The sequence below is a fragment of the Homo sapiens genome, chromosome 11 (genome assembly GCF_000001405.40).
Source record: "Homo sapiens chromosome 11, GRCh38.p14 Primary Assembly".
Lineage (NCBI taxonomy): Eukaryota > Metazoa > Chordata > Mammalia > Primates > Hominidae > Homo > Homo sapiens.
In genome coordinates, this window is record NC_000011.10 from 77,908,720 (window position 1) to 77,932,465 (window position 23,746).

The 23,746-nt window shown below is 40.6% G+C and overlaps 1 protein-coding gene across 7 annotated transcripts in view; it reads right to left on the reverse strand.

Moving 5' to 3' along the window:
- Positions 1-23,746, reverse strand: part of INTS4 (integrator complex subunit 4) — a 120,307-nt gene that overhangs the window by 34,358 nt on the left and 62,203 nt on the right. For 4 of the 7 annotated variants that reach the window (XR_002957208.2, XR_001748036.3, XM_017018560.3 and 1 more), the window contains exons 11-15: positions 19,623-19,828; positions 16,031-16,173; positions 13,637-13,752; positions 12,621-12,754; positions 10,102-10,259 (exon numbers count right to left, since the gene is read on the reverse strand). Coding sequence is in view for 5 of the 7 variants with exons in the window: in XM_017018560.3 (XP_016874049.1) it covers positions 10,102-10,259; positions 12,621-12,754; positions 13,637-13,752; positions 16,031-16,173; positions 19,623-19,828 (757 nt within the window). In the remaining 2 variants the exon portion in view is untranslated. Of the gene's footprint in view, positions 1-2,250; positions 2,434-9,070; positions 9,546-10,101; positions 10,260-12,620; positions 12,755-13,636; positions 13,753-14,731; positions 15,949-16,030; positions 16,174-19,622; positions 19,829-23,746 lie in introns of those variants that run through there. The other 3 variants (XM_047427873.1, XM_047427872.1, XM_011545353.4) reach the window with 3 other exon arrangements.

The window sequence follows — 23,746 nt, forward strand, 5'->3', positions numbered from 1 at the left end:
TGAGGTGGTTTTCTGGATAATGGTAATAGGGTGCTCTTTAGTACCTTCTCCCAACTATGCTTTATTTTCCGAGTTTTTAAGACAATGAACAAGTATTTTTTTGTATCAGAAAAAAACATTATTTTTTAAAAGGTATTATGGTAGACACTGTTGGTTGCCTGTCCAGTTAGCCATTCTCCACTTCTTTATTACTAATTGAACTCTGATTTTGTTCAAGGGAACATGTCCCCAAGCCCAATTCCAAGTAGTATCTGATTGAACTAAGCCAATTAGTGCACATTGTCTGTCTGGATATGTGACCTGAGTTGACCTTATCAGTTCAGTTGAAAGTACTTTATTCCATGCTTACAACAAATTGGTGTGTCTGTCTGTCTCTCGCCGGACTGGGCAAGGATGTTTATAGCCCTGATTGCCATTAGCAGCATACTGTAACTCTAAGGGAAAAACCCTTAAGATAAAGCCAATGCTGAAGACAAGAAAAGTCCAAAGAGAAATAGAGAAACTAGGTCCTCAATGATATAAATAAGCCACTTAATCATACCATATCTCCAATTTCTGGACATCTGGAAAAATATCTTAGTCATGCAACTGCTATAACAAAATATCATAGACTGGGTGGGTTATAAACAACCGAAATTTATTTCTCACAGTTGTATAGGCTGGGAAGTCCAAAATCAAGACACCTACAGATTTGGTTTCTAGTGAGGGCTCATTTCCTCATAGGTTGCACCTTCTACATGTATCTTCATATGGTGGAAGTCACAAACGAGCTCCCTTAGGCCTCTTTTAAAGGTTATTAATCTCATTCATGACCTAATCACCTCCCAAAGACCTCACTTCCTCATAACATCACCTTGGGGTTAGGATTGCAGTATATGAATTTGGGGGAGACATAAACTTTCAGATCATAGCAGGAAATAAATAGCCATTATAAGCTAGCTTGTGAAAAGCATCCTAACTGGATATAAGTATAGACACAATGACTGTAACCATATGAAAACATATCTGCCTATAGTAAGAAATTAGAAAGTGTCATACACAAATAAAATAGTTGTGCTAGAATTATTGGTGATTTAAAACATTTAGTTTTCATATTTATGCAGCCAAAAGACACATGAAAAAATGCTCATCATCACTGGCCATCAGAGAAATGCAAATCAAAACCACAGTGAGATACCATCTCACACCAGTTAGAATGGCTATCATTAAAAAGTCAGGAATCAACACGTGCTGGAGAGGATGTGGAGAAATAGGAACACTTTTACACTGTTGGTGGGACTGTAAACTAGTTCAACCATTGTGGAAGTCAGTGTGGCAATTCCTCAGGGATCTAGAACTAGAAATATCATTTGACCCAGCCATCCCATTACTGGGTATATACCCAAAGGATTATAAATCATGCTGCTATAAAGACACATGCACGCATATGTTTATTGTGGCACTATTCACAATAGCAAAGACTTGGAACCAAGCCAAATGTCCAACAATGATAGACTGGATTAAGAAAATGTGGCATATATACACCATGGAATACTATGCAGCCATAAAAAATGATGAGTTCATGTCCTTTGTAGGGACATGGATGAAGCTGGAAACCATCGTTCTCAGCAAACTATCACAAGGACAAAAAACCAAACACTGCCTGTTCTCACTCATAGGTGGGAATTGAACAATGAGAACACATGGACACAGGAAGGGGAACATCACACCCCGGGGCCTGTTGTGGGGTGGGGGAGGGGGGAGGGATAGCATTAGGAGATATACCTAATGCTAAATGGTGAGTTAATGGGTGCAGCACACCAACATGGCACATGTATACATATGTAACTAACCTGCACATTGTGCACATGTACCCTAAAACTTAAAGTATAATAAAAAGAGAAAATGTTTCTTTAAAAAAAAAATTTAGTTTTTTTGAATAGTTAATACATACTTAAGGTATAGCTTTCAAAGGATATACAATTAAATTAAATTAAATTAGTCCCCCTTCCTACGCCTGTGCCCTGTAGCCCTGCCACCCTGTATACCTTCCCAGAGGCAACTACTATTACCAGTTTCTTTTGAATTTTGAGATATGCCATGCATTTACAAAAAGTACTGGTTTTCTTTGCTTTCTTCTTTTTTAGGGGAGGAATGTGAGTGTGTGTGTGTTTGTGTATTACCTAACCATCTCAGCATTCATAGAAAGCTGCCTCATTACTTTTTAATAGCAACATTAAATTCTGAATAGAAATGGAAACTGTGGGAAACCTTAAGGTCTGAGTCACTTGGGAAGCTGTCTGTTTCAGGGCCGGCATAACACATCAGGTTTCACAGTAGCCTGGAAAAAACCGTCCACTGGACTATGACACTTCCTCCCATCTCATGCTCGGCAGGTAACGTTACGATAGTTAACGATGCCTCCTGGGGACTTTGACATCAAGAAGGAGATGCCTACAAAGGGGCAAAGAGTAAATTACTCTCAAAGTGATTGAAGAATTAATGTATGATATATATCACTTCTTATTCGTTTGGGTTGCTTGAACTGGTCCTGGAGGGCCTACCCAAAGTGTGGGAACCCAGCACAATGAAAGCCAAGACCATAGACTAGCTAAGCCCAACTGTGAAGTGTGAGTTTGGTGGCCAGATGGTCTCTTCCTTTCGCTTCTCTGATTTTTCTCTTGCAAGAGACAGCCCTGAAGTATTCTACTTCAGAAGCATTTGTGTTTCCTCTCCAGGAAGATTCTGCCTTCTATGACAATTATACAGAATACAGACCAACTGACTGTACATTAACTAACTGATTCCAAATGTTACTTTATTCCCCTGCCCCGGAATTGTAGCAGTTGTTCTGAAGTGCACAAAACAAGATGTAACCCAATCCAACACAATTAGCCATAAGAAATCTGAACTTCTGTACAAACAAAAATGGAAACTTGTTAGCTCTGGGAAAAATCCTGTGTCCCAGTGTTACCTCTCTTTATCTCTTTATGCTCACAATTCTCAGGAAGCCTCAGTCTAGACATCCATCAGGAGACTATGGGCTCTAATGAGAAAGGTAAACTGAGCACATTCTATGTGCACTGTACTGTGCTGGCTGTTTCCTTACTTGAGCTCACTTAATCCTCACAATATGAATTGCAATTAATCCTATTTCACTGAACAGGAAACTAAAGATCAAAATTTAAGTGGCTTGCCTAAGGTCACAGAATAAACAACAAAACAGGACATGAACTAGACAGAGTCAGCTCTGACTCCAAAAGTATTTTTTTAACCATATCATATTGCATCTCATTTATTTATTTGCTATTAAACTCTTTTCATTTATTTATTAATTACATCAAACACAGATGAGACCAAAACTAATTTAAAACTAGATACGGCTAGGCGCGGTGGCTCACACCTGTAATCCTAGCACTTTAGGAGGCCAAGGTGGGTGGATTGCCTGAGCTCAGGAGTTCGAGACCAGCCTGGGCAACACGGTGATACCCCATCTCTACTAAAATACAAAAAATTAGCCAGGTGTGGTGGAGTGCGCCTGTAGTCCCAGCTATTCAGGATGCTGGGGCAGGAGAATTGCTTGAACCTGGGAGGCAGAGGTTGCCGTGAACCGAGATTGCACCACTGCACTCCAGCCTGAACGACAGAGGGAGACTCCATCTCCAAAAAAAAAAAAAAACAGCTGGATACACTGGGCCACTTTTCTTTAGATGCTATCAGGCAGAGCAAAACAGTTCCTCCCAGGAACACACACATTAGCAATCTATATGATGCCACTATGCCACTATGTGTAAACACATTTACATATAGTGATTCTTTTTAAGTTTACACAATAGGCTGAATTAATTATTTAAATCACTATTAAAGATAGTCAAAAAGATTCTGGATGTGCAAATCAAATGTAGTTTATTTTTTTCAATCTCTTAGAATCTCTAAAAATCAAATTTATAATTAATGTCTCTTAGTAGCTTAGTAGAGCAAAAAGGAATGTTAGGAAATACAAAATAAACACAAAGTCTTGGTGACCTCTAAAACGCGATCTTTATTCCTGCACCTAGATGATGACAGATTACAAACGTGTATTTCTACTCTTTAATTACGAGACCAGTTCCAATACTACACAATAGGTGCTCTACCTAAAAGACAATAAAAGTTTCAACGCAAAAAGAGGATTTTAAATAATTCAACTAAAAAATCCCATGTTCTTCATTGGTTAGTGTGTAAAAGAATTCCCATCAGAAAAGTAGTATATTTCTTTCTATCTCTGATAAATGAAGCCCCTTCTGTTTCAGGTAATAATGAGCTATTTTACTCCAAAAGAACAATTCTCTATTATGGAACACTTCTAAGGTGATATGGTTCCTGAAACAACACTGTGTATAGCAACAGCACTTTCATGGACTTAACACAAAAATGTAAACTTTGAAAAACAGGAGGTCACTATTCATACTGAGAAATAGCAGACAAATGACTGCAGCATTCCTTAAAAGACAATCCCCTTCAACCCTGCCTGCTAGTGAGTTTAAACATGATTACATTTATAAAATTTGATTTAGTTACAAAATGTCAAGAACATGTCCAGTATGTTAAATAAGCCAGTTAGTTTAAATTTTTTTTTTTTTTTTTTTTTTGAGATGGAGTCTCACTCTGTCGCCCAGGCTGGAGTGCAGTGGCGTGATCTCTGCTCAGCACAAGTTCTGCCTCCCAGGTTCGCACCATTCTCCTGCCTCAGCCTCCCGAGTAGCTGGGACTACAGGCACCCGCCACCACGCCTGGCTAATTTTTTGTATTTTTAGTAGAGATGGGGTTTCATCGTGTTAGCCAGGATGGTCTCGATCTCCTGAGCTCGTGATCCGCCCACCTTGGCCTCCCAAAGTGTTGGGATTACAGGCATGAGCCACTGTGCCCAGCCAGTTAGTTTAAATTTTAAAGCAAACATCCATAAATGTCCAACTATTATCTATGTAACTGATATTCTCAAAATGCTTTTGCCACATATCATTACAATAATCTTCGCAACAGTTCTACAGGTGCAAGCCACAGCATCTGGCTCATAGGTGAGATCTTCATTGGGTTAAATGGCTGTTTGGATTACAAAACAGGGCACTGTGTATGACAGTGAAATTTGTTTTACACTCATACTAACAAATACATGGCTCCAGTCCTCATCAGAGAACCTTCTGTATGAAAGGCTAACATTTCACTCCATAACAACTCAGAAAGTGTAAGTTGTGGAGAACCCCAGGGGTCAACTGATCTAATCTCATGTGATACAGGAATCCCCTGTAAATCACTGCACATCACAGAATATGGATTTTAGAGTTGACAAAGCTGAACTCAAATCCTGCTTCTGCCTCTTCTTAGCAAATTACTTCATGTCTGCAATGATGGTTGTAAAACATCGCAGGTGCCCTCAGTGCTATGGTCCATCTGCTTCCCTTTCCAGATTTTTCACCATCCTGCCTATGCTCCTGAATACACACTCAAGCTAGAAACACAGAGCCCCAAACTTAGGACAGTGATCTGGCCGGCCACTGCCTAGCAAGACTATCATCTCAGGAAACCCAGACCATGAAGGCGAGTACCTTCTAAGAGCCAGCACTGCAGCTGATCACCAAATTGGCTAGCTTTTGTGCCTTTTGCACTTGCTTTAGTGCCAACAGGATAAAACTGTCAAGGACAAAATCTAAATGTTTATTTAGGTGGGGATGAGTCAGGAAGTAGACTGTATTTTACTGGGCTCAGGGCCAACAACCTCATTCAGTGGCCTCCAAAACTAAACACTTTGTTGAGGGAGAAGAGAAATCGCTTCACAAGAGGTATAGAAAGGACTGGAATCTCCGCTTACAGAGCTGTGGACTGCCCAGAGCTTACAGCAGGGTCAGCAAATTTTTTCTGTAAAAGGTCAAATAGTAAATATGTTAGCTTTTACAGGCCGTATGGTCTCTGTGGCAACTACTCAACTCTGTGATTGTAGCATGAAAGCAACTATAGACAATACCTAAACAAATGAGCGTGGGTGTGCTTCAATCAGATCTTACATACAAAAGCAGGCAACAGGCCAGCTTTGGTCCACAGGCTGTAGTCTGGGGACTCCTAGTTTAGAGTACTGTTACTGGCACATCACAGGCACACAATAAATATCAAGTATATGATTCAATGTACAGTGGCAAGAGAACAAACTGCCATGCTAAAATCATTTCAACCTAAAAAATAATTCAGTTTTCCCTATCTTTTATTGTTACTGATTACAGTGATGGTATTCAGGTGAACACTCTGCCATTTGGAATATCATTTAGGCTTAGCCTGTGCAGCTAATGCAGCTTCTTCACACCACACAGCCATCTTTGACATATTTCAACTTGTTAACGATTCATGTTCTGCAGCCCTTTTGGCTGATGCTATCACTGCAAAGCAGTGATATGTGTGAGTCCATTCATTACGGTAACAAGCTTTCACTCAAGCTTTGTTTCTTGCAGTATCTATCATTTCTAGTGTGATCTCCTCCACTGATTTTTAAAAATCCAGTCAACAGTAGGATTTTCTTGTTGAACTGTGAAGGCCTGTGCTAGGTAGGGACTTTGTGAATCATCCCTGCTTGGGTCCCAGAGCTACTGGGGGGCCCATCACTGGAGTGGCTGGTGAGACCCTCCAGGGCATGAGAGTTGCTATGGGCCTCTGTGTGGCTTCTAGAGGCTTCCCAGGGGCACAAAGACTAAGTGACCCAGGTGGAAGCTCAGGAGGCTCACGCTGGACACATGCTGCACACTCTGGCTCTCCTGTGGCTGCAGCTGCACCCACCTACCCAGCATTCTCCCCACGACCTGTCCAGCCCAAGCCCACGGCACTCCCAGGGGAGCCCAGGACACCCTCAACTTTTTATTGGATTACTAGAGTATCAGACCACCCATTTATCTCTCAGTTCCTCACTCCCACCCCTGCACCCAGCAAGTCACCAAGTCCCCCAGGTGAGTAAACTGGAGCTAACAGCAGTTGGTACTTATGGCATATACTGGATTTGGCTCACTCACTCGTGGTATTCCTATCTTCATCTACTGTATCTTCCTAGACTACATAAGCTGCAAAGTTAAAAACTGCATTTCTCAGATTCCCTTGAGCTAGGTTCCAGACATGATTTATTATCAGTCAATCAAACACATTCGCATGAGTTTTGCATAGGGAATAATGTTAAGTGGGAAGAAAGGCAGAATGCAAGACATGGTTCTGGAGCCAGCAGCTTTATTGGTAGCATCCTGACTCAATAGGCAGCTTTCCTGATCATAGCAGGAACATCAGCCTCCTTGGTGGCCCACTCATTGTGTGGCTCTGGAAATCATTCCTGGATATTCCACCTAGTCTGTTTCTTTAGCCTTCCCAACAACTCTGTGAGCCATGTAACATTCTGTAATAAATTTCTTTCTGCTTAAATTAGTTAAAAGCCTCTTTTGTTTTCTGCAAATGAACCCTGAGCAATAAACTTGACTAAGATCAAACAACTACAAGTCATGTGTTGTTTAACGATGGAGATACATTCTGAGACATACACTGTTATGTGATTTTGTCTCACAAACATCATAGAGTATATTTACACAAATCTAAATGGTATAGCCTACTACACACCTAGGCTATATGGTATAGTCTGTTGCTCCTAGGCTACAAATCTGTACAGCATGTTACTGTACTAAAGACTGTAGGCAACTGTAACACTGGTTACAATGGTAAATATTGGTAAATATGGTAAACAATGGTAAATATCTGTATATCTAAACATCAAAAAGGTACAGTAAAAATATAATCATGGGACCACCACAACGTTGTTATTCAGTGCATGACTGTATTAGCTCAGACGTTAAACAAAATGAGTCTGCCCTCAAAGCTCCATTCACTCAATCACTATACTACACCACTGCAGTTCTGGGAGGCTGTTCTCCCTCAGGTCTCCCAGCTCTTCTAATGTCTGCTGAAGTTGGAACTGTCTTCTGCACATGGACTACGAAACTGACATGCTCAGTTATCATTTCATACTAGCTAAAGGATCTTCTCCTTTGTGAAGCATCCCTCACCACCACTACCGTGATGGGTCGGGGACTTTCATCTGTTTTTCCACAGCATCTATGCTTCTCTTCACTGTATCATTTATCAAATTGATGATTTCTGGGTCCTGTAATAAACAGTGAGTACCTTAAGAACAAATGTCATTTCTTATTTCTCTCTACCCTCAGCAACTGGCTTATTAGAATAAACAAATAGTTAATGCTGCTAAGTGAATGAATGACCTAATATAATGGGAAAACATAACTTGGAGGATGGTTCAGTTGGCTGGCTTTATAACATGTTAAGATGCAATAATGGACAGGAAAGCATGAACAAAGTACAAAGCGCTGTTATCCACCATCATAAGTCTTTGTCTATATCCATCTTGTCTACATGGGCTCTCTAAGGGCAGAATCCTAGCTAGCTGATCTGTATCTAGCACAGAGCTTGTTTCTTAGTGTATGGAATGAAATCATCCACTAAAAATTATTAATTGAATGTGGCTGGTACCAAATACTCTTCCGGGCAGATCAAAAGAGATCTCAACTAAGATACAAATTATATAATATAATATTTTTCCTTCTTTCTTTTTTTTTTTTGAGATGGAGTCTCACTCTGTTGCCCAGACTGGAGTGCAGTGGCGCAATCCTGGCTCACTGCAAGCTCTGCCTCCCGAGTTCAAGCGATCCTTGTGCCTCAATCTCCCAAGTAGCTGGGATTACAGGCGCGTGCCACCACACCTGGCTAATTTTTGTATTTTTAGTAGAGATGGGGTTTCACTCAACGGGGCTGGTCTTGAACTCCTAGCCTCAAGTGATCCTCCCGCCTCAGTCTCCCAAAGTGCTGGGATTACAGGCATGAGCCACTGCACCTGGCCGATATAATATTTTTCTCTTTTAAGAGCAAACAATAAAGAATTTAAACTCATTTGCTTTTAGCAAAAGCAGTACTGTTTGCTCCTCAAAGATATAATTTTTTAATCTTTTAAGAGCAAACAATACTGCTTTTGCTAAAAGCAAATGAGTTTAAATTTTTTTCATATCATTCAGGCCATTTTGAGGAAGGTCTGGCAGAGCCTTTTGGTTGTTCCCCAATATCTTTCTCCCATTCTTCCTGAGTATTAGAGTCATCGCATGTAAACCAGGCATTAGTCACCCAGAATAAAGACTGCATGTCCTCGCTCCTTGAAGTGAGAGATGGCCATGTGACTTAAGTTCTAGTCAATGGAATGCAAGTAAAATTAGAGTGTACAACTTTTGGGAAGTGTCTTTAAACAAACCACAGGGTGGAGATGATACCTTTCTCTTCCTGTTTCCTTTTCCCCACAGGATGGAATACAGGGGGCACAGTTAGATCTGAATTGTTAAGCAGAGGCTGCTTGATGCAGAAGATGAAGACAGAAGAAAGAATGAGCCTAGGCCGGGCACAGTGGCTCACGCCTGTAATTCCAGCACTTTGGGAGGCCGAGGCGGGAGGATCACTTGAGCTCAGGAGTTTGAGACCAGCCTGGCCACCATGGTGAAACCTCGACTCTACAAAAAAAAAAAAGCCAAAATTAGCCAGGTGTGGTGGCATATGCCTGTGGTCCCAGCTACTTGGGAGGCTGAAGTGGGAGAATCACTTGCAGTGAGCTGATATTATGCCACTGCACTCCAGCCTGGGTGACAGGGTGAGACCCTGTCTCAAAAAAAAAAAAAAAAAAAAAAAAGAGCAAGCCTAGATCCCTGATGGTCATCTCAGCCCTGTCCTGCCTATGAGAAAGAATTAAACTTTGCTCCTGTTTTAGCCACTGTTACTTTGCATTTTGGTCACTCATCCTAATATATAAAATTAAAAAACTAAAAACAGGTTCTTTGTAACTATTTCTGTTGTGTACTAATCATCAATCGAGTCATGAATATAAAGAGCTCTTTTAAAAAATATGTTCAAACCACAATCTAATCCAAATATAAACAGACCATAAAACCGTGTGTGAATGTAGACCAATAAAGTCAGAATATCAAGCCTAGTAACCAACACCAGAATTCAGAACAGTCAAGCTGAGTGTAACAGCACTAACTCTGTCAGATGAAGGGATGATTACCCTACCTGATGGTGAATTCCAGCAGCTCCTGGGCTCCCTGAGGGTCCAAGTGCTGAAGACTATACACTCTTTCAAGGCTCTGCTGCAGGAACTGCTGGGAAGGATCCTCTTGAGGTATGATGCTGGGAGAAACAGCTGATGACACCAGTTTTCTACCTGGTAACTAAGCAGAGTGGGATTACAGAGTCATTAAGTTTGGTGGCTCAGCTTTTGGTAACACACACACAAACACATAAAAGCACATTAAAAACGTGAGCTAAACAAAACAAAGGGGAAAAAAGGCTAGGATATTCTATAAATAACATTTCTCCCCTTCCTCAGCAACATTGGGAGTTAAAGAGAAAGAGACAAAATGCAAACATGGTCTACCCAATACAGCCACAGCTGCCAGGAGAAAAACAGAAAGATATAATATTTTCTATTGCTAACTGAAATAAATGGGCCAACCCTAGGAAGGAGACTAAAAATTGAACTGTTGTTACATTTTTTTTTTTAGACAGAGTTTCACTCTTGTTGCCCAGAGTGCAATGGTACCATCTCGGCTCACTGCAACCTCCGCCTCCCAGGTTCAAGCGATTCTCTTGCCTCAGCCTCCTGAGTAGCTGGGATTAGAGGTGGCCGCCCCCACACCCAGCTAATTTTGTATTTTTAGTAGAGACAGGGTTTCTCCATGTTGGTCAGGCTGGTCTCGAACTCCTGACCACAGGTGATCTGCCTGCCTCGGCCACCCAGAGTGCTGGGATTACAGGCGTGAGCCACTGCACCCGGCCACATTTATCTTTAAAACACTATCTTATCTTTCACTTGAAGGAAGAATAATGATTTATTCCCAAATAAATTTATATAGCATATAATTTTTTCATGAGAATAATTTTTTTTTATTTTTGGCCTAGCCCTACAGATATACTTATTCTTACTGTTAAAAGTGGTTACCTTTTAAGATGGATGGGGAGGAGAGAGCAAAGAGTATTTCACTTTTCATTTTGTATCTACTTGTCTTTTGTTTTTTTTGAGATGGAGTCTCGCTCTGTCGCCCAGGCGGGAGTGCAGTGGCGCAATCTTGGCTCATTGCAACCTCTGCCTCCTGGGTTCAAGCAATTCTCCTGCCACAGCTTCCCGAGTAGCTAGGACTACAGGTGCCCACCACCATGCCCAGTTAATTTTTGTATTTTTAGTAGAGATGAGGTTTCACCATGTTGGCCAGGCTGGTCATGAACTCCTGACCTCAGATGATCCACCCGCCTTGGCCTCCCAAAATGCTTAGATTACAGGTATGAGCCACCGCACCTGGCCTCATTTTGTATTTTCTATAAAGTTTAAATTTTCTAACCATATATATATATACACATATATATACATATACATATACACATATATATACATATATATACACACATATATATACACATATACATACATATATACATATATATACATATATACATATATACACATATATATACACATATATATATATACACACATATATATAAATGTTCCTCTAAATAAACACATATTACTCCAAATAAAGTGATTTGGAGTCACCCAAGCAGGGATGAGTTAATGCAAATAGAGAGATTGGAAGAGTACCTGAGCCACAGCATTCACGAAGTGTTTGCTATTATTATTATGATCTATTTTTAAATTTTCTTCTATATAACTCTAGGTTTTAAAAATAGTAAAGGTTTTATTTTTAAAAAATAAGCACTTGTGGAGAATCATAGCTATATGTAATAGTTAAAATATAACAATTTAGGCTGGGTGTGGTGGCTCATGCCTGTAATCCCAGCACTTTGGGAGGCCGAGGCAGGCAGATCACGAGGTCAGGAGATCAAGACCATCCTGGCTAACACGGTGAAACCCTGTCTCTACTAAAAATACAAAAAATTAGCCGGGCGTGGTGGCAGGCGCCTGTAGTCCCAGCTACTCGGGAGGCTGAGGCAGGAGAATGGAGTGAACCTGGGAGGTGGAGCTTGCAGTGAGCCGAGATCGTGCCACTGCACTTCAGCCTGGGCGACAGAGCAAGACTCCGTCTCAAAAAGTAATAATAATAAAAATAAATAAATAAATATATATATATAACAATTTAAATTCTTGATCTAAAATATAATCTATTGTTCCAGGTTCCTTTCTTCTTGCCTAATATCAATAACCCAGGGACACCAAAAAAAATGAATCATCTTAAAAGGTAAAGGATACAAAAGCAAAAGTATAAAACAATGGCAAAGAGCCCAAGAGAGAAAGAGAATGAACAAACAAGTTTTCAGAGAATATATGGACTGCTTTCTACTATTTAATAACCACAAAGCACAAAAAATAAAAAGCCAAAAACAAGCTGCACACAGTGGTGCTCACCTGTAATCCCAGTGACTTGGGAGGCTGAGCCAGGAGGATGGCTTAAGCCCAGGAGTTTGAGACCGCCCTGGGCAACATAACAAGACCCCCATCTCAAAGGAAAACATGAACAAAAATAACCCTACCCCATGCAAAATAAAAACAAGGACAACAGATGTTTTCAACATACCCTCAAGGCAGGAACAAGATGAGAAAGACTGTCTCGGAGGTAGGCATAGTGCCTGAAGGTGTGATCTGAGAACAATGCTGGCATTGTTGGACAGGTTTTAGCAGCATTGAAAATAAGTACCAAAACTGCAATATCTGATAGATGACTGGGTTAAGTAAACTTGGAAGTATAAAAGGTTGGCCAGATTCTGGCACTCTCACTTTCCACCTCCAAAATCTCCATCAAGAGACTATGATTTTCTAATAATCAAAGAAATGCAAATACAAACAACAAAATACATTCCCCTACTCCACCCACACCCCCAATTACCAAAGGTTTTTAAAAATGCCAGAGACTGCCAAGAATACAAAAAATGGAAATGATTTTGCCTATAAAGTAAGCAACTATATTGCCTATCAAAGTACATACTGGACAGGCATGGTGGCTCACGCCTGTAATCCCAACACTTTGGGAGGCTGAGGTGGGTGGATCACTTGAGGTCAGGAGTTTGAGACCAGCCTGGGCAACAAGGTAAAACCCCGTCTCTACTAAAAATACAAAAATTAGCCGGGAGTGGTGGCAGGCACCTGTAATCCCAGCTACTTGGGAGGCTGAGCCAGGAGAATCATTTGAATCCGGGAGGCGGAGGTTGCAGTGAGCTGGGGTGGTGCCACTGCACTCCAGCCCAAGCAACAGGTTAGGAATTTGAGACCAGCCTAGCCAACATGGTGATACCTCATCTCTACTAAAAATACAAAAATTAGCTGGGTGTGGTAGCGGGCGCCTATAATCCCAGCTACTCAGGAGACTGAGGCAGGAGAATTGTTTGAACCCGGGAGGCAGAGGTTTCAGTGAGCCGAGATCAGGCCACTGCACTCCAGCCTGGGTGACAGAATGAGACTCTGTCTTCAAAAAAAAAAAAAAAAAAGAAAGAAAAGCAAAGAAAAGAAAATTCAGACTACCCTAGCTATACTGCAGAAGGAGATGCCAAAGCTGCCTGCCAACACATCAGGGCCCATCCTAAGCACAGAGGATACAAGCTGGATCATCCATGTCTGGTTCAGCTGTGTCAAAAAATGGGTGGGTGCTCAGAAGCTCTGGCACCAAGGGAAGCACCAGGGTTGGATGCCGACTTCCCAGAAACTTCAAGCACCTGAAACAAACAAATAAGAATGCACATCAACAAATTAGTAAAGTTAGTCCTTTGAAAAGTACTAGGAACTGGAATCAGAAAACCTGAACTGGAATTGGAAATTCTCAACCATATACTTTTGCTAACTCTATGACTTCAGATAAGTCACCCAGTTATTCTGGAACTCGGTTAATTCATCTAAAAAAACTGGTTATTATAAAGATAAAAGAACTGGTTATTTAACCAAGAGCCATTTCCCCCATCTTTCTTCCTGAGAGAGCCCTGATTTTACTCAGGTATCAGGCAGGCAGCAAAGTGCTCGGAAAAGGCAGGTCCAGCCCAAGAGCTGAACCACTATTGGTCTAAACCCATCATGGCAATCCCATTCCCATTTTCCAGTGACTGGTTTGCTGGTGGGCAAGTAAGCCAGTTCTAGACAATGGAGCACGAGAGTATGCTGGCTGGGGAGCTTCTCAGGGATGTTTTTGCAAATCAAAAGAGCAATGCATGAAAGGGAATGACCCTTCCTTTCTGTCTTGAGATATTATCTTATGAGGCAGCCATCTTACAACTATGAGAAGAAAGCCGGCCGGGTGTGGTGGCTCACGCCTATAATCCCAACACTTTGCGAGGCCGAAGTGGCTGGATCAGGAGGTCAAGAGATCAAGACCATCCTGGCCAACATGGTGAAACCCCATCTCTGCTAAAAATACAAAAATTAGCTGGGCATGGTGGCACGGGCCTGTAGTCCCAGCTACTCGGGAGGCTGAGGCAGGAGAATCACTTGAACCTGGAAGGCGGAGGTTCAGTGAGCCAATATTATGCCAATGCACTCCACCCTGGCGATAAAGAGAGACTCTGTCTCAAAAAAAAAAAAAAAAAAAAAGCCAAGAGAACTGCAGAGAAACCAAAGAGAGCCCTGGTAACCTGTTGAATGACGAATCCTGAAACCAACCTTCTGACCACTTGTTATGAAAAAACAGACTTATTGGCTAAGATATTTTTAATCAGATTGTCTTTTTTATTTGTGGGCAAAAACATTCTGATTGATATCCTGGGTGAAGTCCTGAAATCACAGATCTGTCTGAAACTAAGTAGCCTTATGCAAGTAAATTTTTTCATCTACAAAATGAGATTAAAAGTCATTACTTCATAGAGTTGCTATACGCATTAAATAACTAACATAAAGTACTTAGCAAAGTGTCTGTCACATAGTAAGAACTCAATGTTAGCTATTATAACTACATGAGGGCCCTTTATAAACTATAAGGAACTATAAAAGCAAGGTAATTATATATTTTTATTATTGTTTATGGTTTTTTTTTTTTTTTTGAGACTGAGTCTTGCTCTGCTGCCCAGGCTGGCATGCAGTGGCACAATCTCGGCTCACTGCAACCTCTGCTTCCAGGGTTCAAGCAATTCTCCTGCCTTCGCCTCCCAAGTATCTGGGATTACAGGCGTGTGCCACTAGGCCCGGCAGATTTTTGCATTTTTAGTAGAGATGAGGTTTCACCATGTTGGCCAGGGTGGTCTTGAACTCCTGACCTCAGGTGATCCACCCGCCCCAGCCTCCCAAAGTGCTGGGATTATAGGCGTGAGCCACTGCACCCAGCCAATTTAGTGCACCTTCTAAACCAGAACTTAATGAATAAAAAATAATAAGGCCAGGCACAGTGGCTCATGCCTGTAATCCCAGCACTTTGGGAGGCCGGGGCAGGGGGATCACCTGAGGTCAGGAGTTCAAGACCAGCCTAACCAACATGGTAAAACCCCATCTCTACTAAAAAAAAAAACAAAAATTAGTTGGGGTATGGTGGCATGCAACCTATAATCCCAGTTACTCGAGAGGCTGAGGCAGGAGAATCGCTTGAACCCAGGAGGCAGAAGTTGCAGTGAGCTGAGATCACGCCACTGCATTCTAGTCAGAGTGACAGAGCGAGACTCCGTCTCAAAAAAAAAAAGTAACAAAACAAAACACTATATAGGAGAAAGAGGAAATCTAATTAATTTATTTCTATACTTGTAACAGCTACCACAAGGGTTGGTGCATAGTCAGCACACAGCAGGCACATAATATTTGCTAGGTGGATAGATGCACAAATTAGTAAGTAATCTAAAATGTGATACTCAGCTTAGGAATCAGATTCCTGAGAGTTCGGTTAAGTTGAATCAGGTTTCTAAAGTAAAGGCAAAATTCAGGGCCGTACTATCCTCAATCTATAAGGACGGAACAAATGTCAGCATTATACATTTACCACATTATGGGACTCAGTGAGTAAATGGGCAAAAAAGTCATTACTTCCATATGGAGTCCCTATCAGTAGGGTACTTGGTTAAATTTTTCAGCAGCTCCACCAATGCAAGATGAATCCCTTCTTTGGTTGAAACATTAGTACAGCATAAGAGTTCATGAAGAGCCTCTCGAATATCTCTGGATGAATCCTTTTAAAAAAAAAGTAATAATAACAGTAGTTACTGTTGGTTAGCAGACTCAGCCTCTATCTACCATCCCCTTCTACCCAGCCACCTTCCCATCTAGGGTGGCCATGTAACAAAGTATGTGGAAGTTTTTTAGCTGAAATTCCTGAAATATCTTTCATTTTATTGATAAAGGACCAGAGGCAGTAGCTTTATCCCCTTTGTTCTTTAACCTTCCTTTTCCATCCTATCTGGAACTCAATCATGATGCTGAAGGTACAAGAGCCTTTTTGCAACTAGGAAAAAGGACAGGCTAAGAAGAAAGGCTAAGAGAGAGGCTGGGAATGGCCAGTTAGCAGAACACTCAGAACACACATACTTATTAAGTTTGCCATCTTATACAGGCACAGTTTGTGGCATCCCAAAACAATTACAACAGTAACATCAAAGATCACTGATCACAGATCACTGTAACAGATGTAATAATGAAAAAGTTTGAAATATTGCAAGAATTACCAAAATGTGACACAGACATAAAGTGAGCACATGCTATTGGAAAAATGGCACCGATAGACTTGCTCAATGCATGGTTGCCGCAATCTCTCAATTTATTAAAAAAACACAATATCTGCAAAGCCCAATAAAGAGAGGTATACCTGTATGTGTTAAATGGAGGAGTGAGGGAAAAAGTCAATCTATCTGAAGTGAATTTCAAGATTTCAAGAATGAGAAATATTAAAAGAGAGGCAAATCGAAATGTCACTCCTATCCATAAAATTCTGCAACAGTTTTCCATAATGTTAGAATAAAATCCAGACATCTTAAAATGGCCTACAAGGCTCTCCACCTGTCCCTAATCCCCTCTCAGACTTCATCTCATGCCACATTTCTACTTTCTCACTGTGGTTCACTCCTACTGGCTTTCTCTCTATTCTGCAAACACAACAAAGCTCACTTGTGTTTTAGAGCCTTTCCACTAGCTGTTGCCTCTACCTGAAGTTATTCTCCCAGTCTTCACATAGCTAGCTTCTGTTTATCATTCAAGACTCAACTTGAACATCATCTCCTCAGAAAGTCTTTACTAACCACTCAAATTACAGAGAAATTCCCCATTCCTCAATCATACTGTTTATCTTCTGCAAAACATTTATCACCATCTGAAATCATTTTGTTTGTTTACTCCACCTCTCTTTAGAATATAAGTTTTATGACAGCAGGGATCCTGCCTGTTTTGATATCCCTATATTTCTAATACATAGACAGTGCTTGTTGAATAAAGAAGTGAATTTTTCTAGGCAGGGTAGGATCTTGACATAGCAGGAAAAAAAAAAGGCAAATTCCAGCTGGAAGGGTCAGCAAGGTAAGGCTCAAAGCAATGAAGCCCAGTGACACAGAAAATATAAGGGAGAAGTACACAGCAGGGTGGAAGAATAGTCTACTGTAAGTTTATATTGGTCTGAACTCCTGAAAAGAATTAAAAGGCAAGGATTCTTTGTGAGTTATATACATAAGTACTCACAAATAAGCATACCTGTGAACAATTCTGTACATCAAAACATAGCTTGGAACATAGCTCAGCTACTCAGCAAACACTTACCGAGCACCTAATTGTGCCAGACACTGCTGCAAGACATTGGTAATAAAAAAATGAAGAGTCAGCCGGGCACGGTGGCTCACACCATAATCCCAGCACTTTGGGAGGCCAAGGTGGGTGGATCACTTGAGGTCAGGAGTTCGAGACCAGCCTGGCCAATATGGTGAAACACGATCTCTACTAAAAAAAAAAATATATACAAAAATTAGTATTGTGGTGCGTGCCTGTAATCCCAGCTGCTCGGGAGACTGAGGCAGGAGAATTGCTTGAACCCAGGAGGTGAAGGTTGCAGTAAGCCAAGATCGTACCACCGCACTCCACCCTGGGGAACAGAGCGAGACTCAGCCTCAAAAAAAAAAAAAAAGGAAAGGAAAGGAAAGGAAAAAGGAAAGGAAAGGAAAAGAAAAGAAAAGTCAAGACACCTTGAGGAGCTCACAGTCTTATGAAATAGAGAATTACTGAAAAATGCTACAGCAGTATACACAGGGTGCTATGGGAATAGAGTGGTGGCATTTAGCCCACCCAGTGCTGGGAGTAACAGTTAGGGAAGGCTTCCTGGATATGTTACCTAATATAGGCTGTGGGAATAAGTGGACGTCTCCTGGGTTAAAGTGGCAGTTTTGCAAACTGTGGGGGAAAATTACATTGAAGGTAAAATTGTGAGGAAAAGCAATATGTGTAGGAAAGTGACTTCAGCATAAAGTTCAAGGTGAGGAATGGTGGAAAAGAAAGCTAAAAAGGAAAGGAGTGGCTAGGCTATGTATGAGGCCACCCATGAAGAACCGCACATAGAATGTAAACTTATTTTTAGGAAAAAATACATGAAAAAATTATAAAGATTTATAATTCAGGAAAAATCTCAGTAGAAGTGCTAAGCAGCTGAGAGAATGGTAGGGACCTTCAAAACCAAAGCACCAGCTATTCTTTAAAGTACGCAGTAGAAATCTGTTACAAGTGTTCTAAAAACTAAGCACCTAATCACTATCCCTTTCACATCTGAACCCCATCTTCCCCAAAAAAGGAAACCAGAGGACAAACCCCATTTATGAATACTCTGAAGAACTTGAGTAGTTGCAATTAAAATCCAGACATTTTAGAAAAATAATACAAGAACCACCTAGAGCTGTATGGCCTGGGAAGCAACTCTCTGTTTACATTCTGGTTCAGCCACTAACTCAAACAACTTATTTTTTTCTCTATAAAATTCCCAGGGTAGAATGAATCAATCCCTAAGATCACTTGCTGCTATAACAGCCTATGATTCACTACAAGAATAAAATCAAATTAAAGGTTGAAAAGAACTCTTCATTATTTAGCCCCTACCTTATCTATAGCCACGTCCTCCACTCTTCCATCTCTTCAACTCTACACTATCATTATAATAAACTCTTTTTAGTTCCTTGAATATATCATATTCTGTCTTATCTCTGCATCTTTAGACATTGCTCCCTCTGTCTGGTACCCTTTCATCCTACCACCAGTGTCACTTCTCCTTTAAAAAAGATGCACTTCAGCCTGAGTGACAGAGTGAGACCCTGTCTCAAAAGAAGAAGGCAAAAAAAAGCCTAGTTAAGTCCTACTCCTCCTTCAAGTGTCCACTACAGCACTTCCTCCTTCTTCCCAACCTCACCTCAGCCAATTCAGGTTAGACACTATGTATTCCCTAGGCATCCTATCCTTTCTTGATCACAGAAAGACCAAGCTTATTCAAATTTCCTGTTTCACAGTCAATTTCTTCCATCTTAGGGAAGGGGTATGGTGAGAAAACAGAACTGTGCTCCCTGATATAGTGTTCTGTCACCAATGCCTAGCACAATACCTGATTTTAACAGGGGGGGGTGAGGGATGAAGAAATGAGTAACAAATTAGAAACACTCACCTCTAGCACAGCCAGGACAGTGTCAAGCTGATCTTCTCGGAGGGTGATGTTGTTAGAGATTTTTCTCATGGTATGTATAGACTGCAGACGTACTTCCTCAATTTCATCGTTGAACATGTCAACTAGGAAATCAAGGCACTTCTCAGCAAAAGAGGGTGAAGACTGGGCCAACATGCAGAGGGCCTCCACAGCAGCAATACGAACCTCTAGAAAAAAGAACAAATGAAATTGCACATCAGGCTGGGCACAGTGGCTCACGCCTGTAATCCCAGCACTTTGGGAGGCCAAGGGAGGCAGATCACTTGAGCCCGCCTATGCAATGTGGTAAAACTCTGTTTCTACCAAAAATATTAAAAAATTAGCTGGGTGTGGTAGCGTGCGCCTGTTGTCTCAGCTACTTGGGAGGCTGAGAAGGGAGGATCACTTGAACCTGGGAGGCAGAAATTACAGTTAGCCAAGGTCATGCCACTGCACTCCAGCCTGGTGACAGAATGAGACCCTATCTCAAAACAAAACACACAAAAAACAAATTAGCCAAGTGTGGTGGCACACGCCTATAGTCCCATCTACTTGGGAGGCTGAGGCAGGAAGATCACTTGTGCCCAGGAGTTTGAGCCTGCAGTGAGCCATGATCGTGCCACTACACTCCATCCTGGTGACAGAGTGGGCCCCTGTCTCAAAAAAAAAAAAAACTCCAAAAACAAAAAAACAAAAACTGCACATCAGCCAGGTGCAGTGCCATACACCAAAGTCCCAGCTACTCAGGAAGCTGAGGTGGGAGGATCATTTGAGCTCAGGAGTTCAAGGCTGGCCTGAGCAACACACTGAAGCCCCATATTTTATATATATATATAAAGTAACTCATATCAAATTAAGAGCCATGGGATAAGTCCAAGATGGATTCCTTCTCCTTCAGGCTGTCTTCTATTCTCTACTCCTCTCATTCTATAAACTCTCCCTGGGAGATCTCTATGCCCACAGTTTCACATACCACCCACCTTAACGTCGATCTAAGAACATGGACTTTAGTATCACAAGGACTATGGCTTAAATCTGACACCACATATATGTGATGAAGTCACATGTCTGTCTACATTAACTTCTTGAAAATTAAATTGTCTTACTTATCTCAGTATTCTGACCACAGTACTTTTTAAAAAGTCAGTTAGTAAATAATGTTATCATTAAGATTAAAGTAGACTAAATATCATTGTTCGAATTTTAGAGGTAAGATTCAGCAATGTGGATTCACTTGCCTCAAAGTGAATGAGGGCAGGAATAGGACCAATACTCAGGTCTGTTGATTGTAGGCTAAAATCATATAGTAGTTAAGGATACACGCTTGGAATGATAGAGGTCTCAGAGCAAACTGTAGTGAATGATCCCTCCACTAAGTTGGAGGGTGATCTTGAATAAGTAACTCAACTTCCTGGCACCTCAAATTTCTCGCCTGGTAAGTGGAGATAATACTCATTTCCTTACAGAGTTGTTAGGACTAAATGAGATAATACAGGTAAACCACATAGGGACCCTGCCTGGCATATTTTAAGGGCTCAGTAAGTATCACCTAGGGTATAGGTTTGGGTTCTGTAAAGTACCCTGAAAACAGAGGCATGTTTTCCACCCCTTGGCATGCTCAGAACATGTAAACAATAAAGCCACTGATCCGAGGAAGCCCTTTCTTGATTCACTAATAAGTGGGTCCTGAACACGTATTATATGCTAGGTGCAGTACTAAGGGCTAGGATACAAAGATGAGAAATGAGTAAGACACAGAAAATGCTCATAAGACTTCTATACATGGTTGTTTTTTTCTAGTGATTCCCATATGCTTCTGTAACAAAATGGACTATTCCAAAACAAAATAAAACAAAAAGTACCTAAAGTTGTGGTTAAAACTCACAAACACAATTTCCTCTTTGTATAAAGAAAGGTTTTATAGACATGTTAAAAGTAGAGTTACTACATTAAAGACAGATGATTCAGGTTTTTCTTGGTAGTTATGAATTCCTCCTTTTTATCAGAAGAGAACAATTTTCTTCACTTCACAATAATATAATTTAAACATGAAATTGCTAATTATAAGGCAAGCTAGAGATAAACCCAAACATGTTAAGTGCTGGCTCTTCCTCCTAGAATTTTATCCATTACACCACACTGACTCATATGTAACCTTTGCAAGTCCACCAAGGCAATCAGGAAGGAACTTCTGATCAGAAAGAGATAATCATTGTGACCTCAGCTGATACAATTCTAAGCAGAAGCAAAGAAATGTGGTATTTTACTTTGCCTGAACGGCCAGACTATAAGCAAGAAAATTGATATTTTCCACTGAACTTTTTGGAATGTTGAAGATATGTCGGCCAGGTATGTCACGCCTGTAATCCCAGCACTTTGAGAGGCCAAGGCAGGAGGATCACTTGAGCCCAGGAGTTCAACACCAGCCTGGGCAACACAGTGAGACCCCATCTCTATAAAAAAAAGTTAATTAAAAATAAATAAATAATATGTCACAGATTCCCTATGGGTACAGAGCAGAGAAAAGGAATCTACTATACTATATTTTTAAAAAGACTGATTCTCAGCATCTGCACATGTATAATTGGATCCAGACTTAGCTACCTATTAGGTTTGTACTTAGTACTAAAGATACAAAGATGAACAAAAGCAAGACTATCCCCCAGGCTTACAAACAAGAACAGTTAATTGCATTACAGAGTGATGACTGTTGCCATGGAAAAGCACAGGGAATGTAAGAAAATGCATATGAAGAAATATAGCTCAATCAATGGGATCAGAGGTGGCTTTCTGTAATATGTGATCCCTAAAAACAATAACTAAAAGAGCTGCTAAGCCAAAAGAAAGAAAAAGACCTTTCTAGAAGAAAAGCTGCATGCACAAAGTCCCAAAAAGGAGGGAGAAGATGGATAAATTAGAAGACTAGAAGTATGTGAGGCACTACACTAGAGTGAACAGCCAGTGAAATAAGGCTCCATTTCATTCCCAGCAATGCATCCCTAAAACCCAAATTTTCCCAGAACTGTATAAATGTGATAAAATTAGAAAGCTGTCATACCTGATACCTGGTTATGGTATACTCACTTTTTAAACTTAAGTTAATTTGATTACATCTTAATAACATTTGTAACACGAAGGATAAATCCTTGAGGAGATGGATACCTATTCTATATGATGTGATTATTTCATATTTCATGCCTGTATCAAAACATCTCATGTACCCCTTAAATATATATACTAGTATGGAACCAAAAAAGGGCCCACATAGCCAAGACAATTCTAAGCAAAAAGAACAAAGCTGGAGGCCTCATGCTACCTGACTTCAAACTATACTACAAGGCTACAGTAACCAAAACAGCATAGTACTGGTACCAAAACAGATATATAGACCAATGGAACAGAATAGAGGCCTCAGAAATAACACCACACATCTACAACCATCTGATCTTTCACAAACCTGACAAAAACAACCAACAGGGAAAGGATTCCCTATTTAATAAATGGTGTTAGGAAAACTGGCTAGCCATATGCAGAAAACTGAAACTGGATCCCTTCCTTACACTTTATACAAAAATTAACTCAAGATGGATTAAAGACTTAAACATAAGACCTAAAACCATAAAAACCCTAGAAGAAAATCTAGGCAATACCATTCAGGACATAGGCATGGGCAAAGACTTCATGACTTAAACACCAAAAGCAACGGCAATGAAGCCAAAACTGACAAATGGGATCTAATTAAACTAAAGAGCTTCTGCACAGCAAAAGAAACTATCATCAGAGTGAACAGGCAACCTACAGAATGGGAGAAAATTTTTGTAACCTATCCATCTGACAAAGAGCTAATATCCAGAATCTACAAGGAACTTAAACAAATTTCCAAAAAACAAAACAAAACAAAACAAAAAACCATGACCCCATCAAAAAGTGGGCAAAGGATACAAACAGACACTTCTCAAAAGAAGACATTTATGCGACCAACAAACATATTAAAAAAAGCTCATCATCACTGGTCATTAGAGAAATGCAAATCAAAACCACAATGAGATACCATCTCACACCAGTTAGAATGGCGATCATTAAAAAGTCAGGAAACAACAGATGCT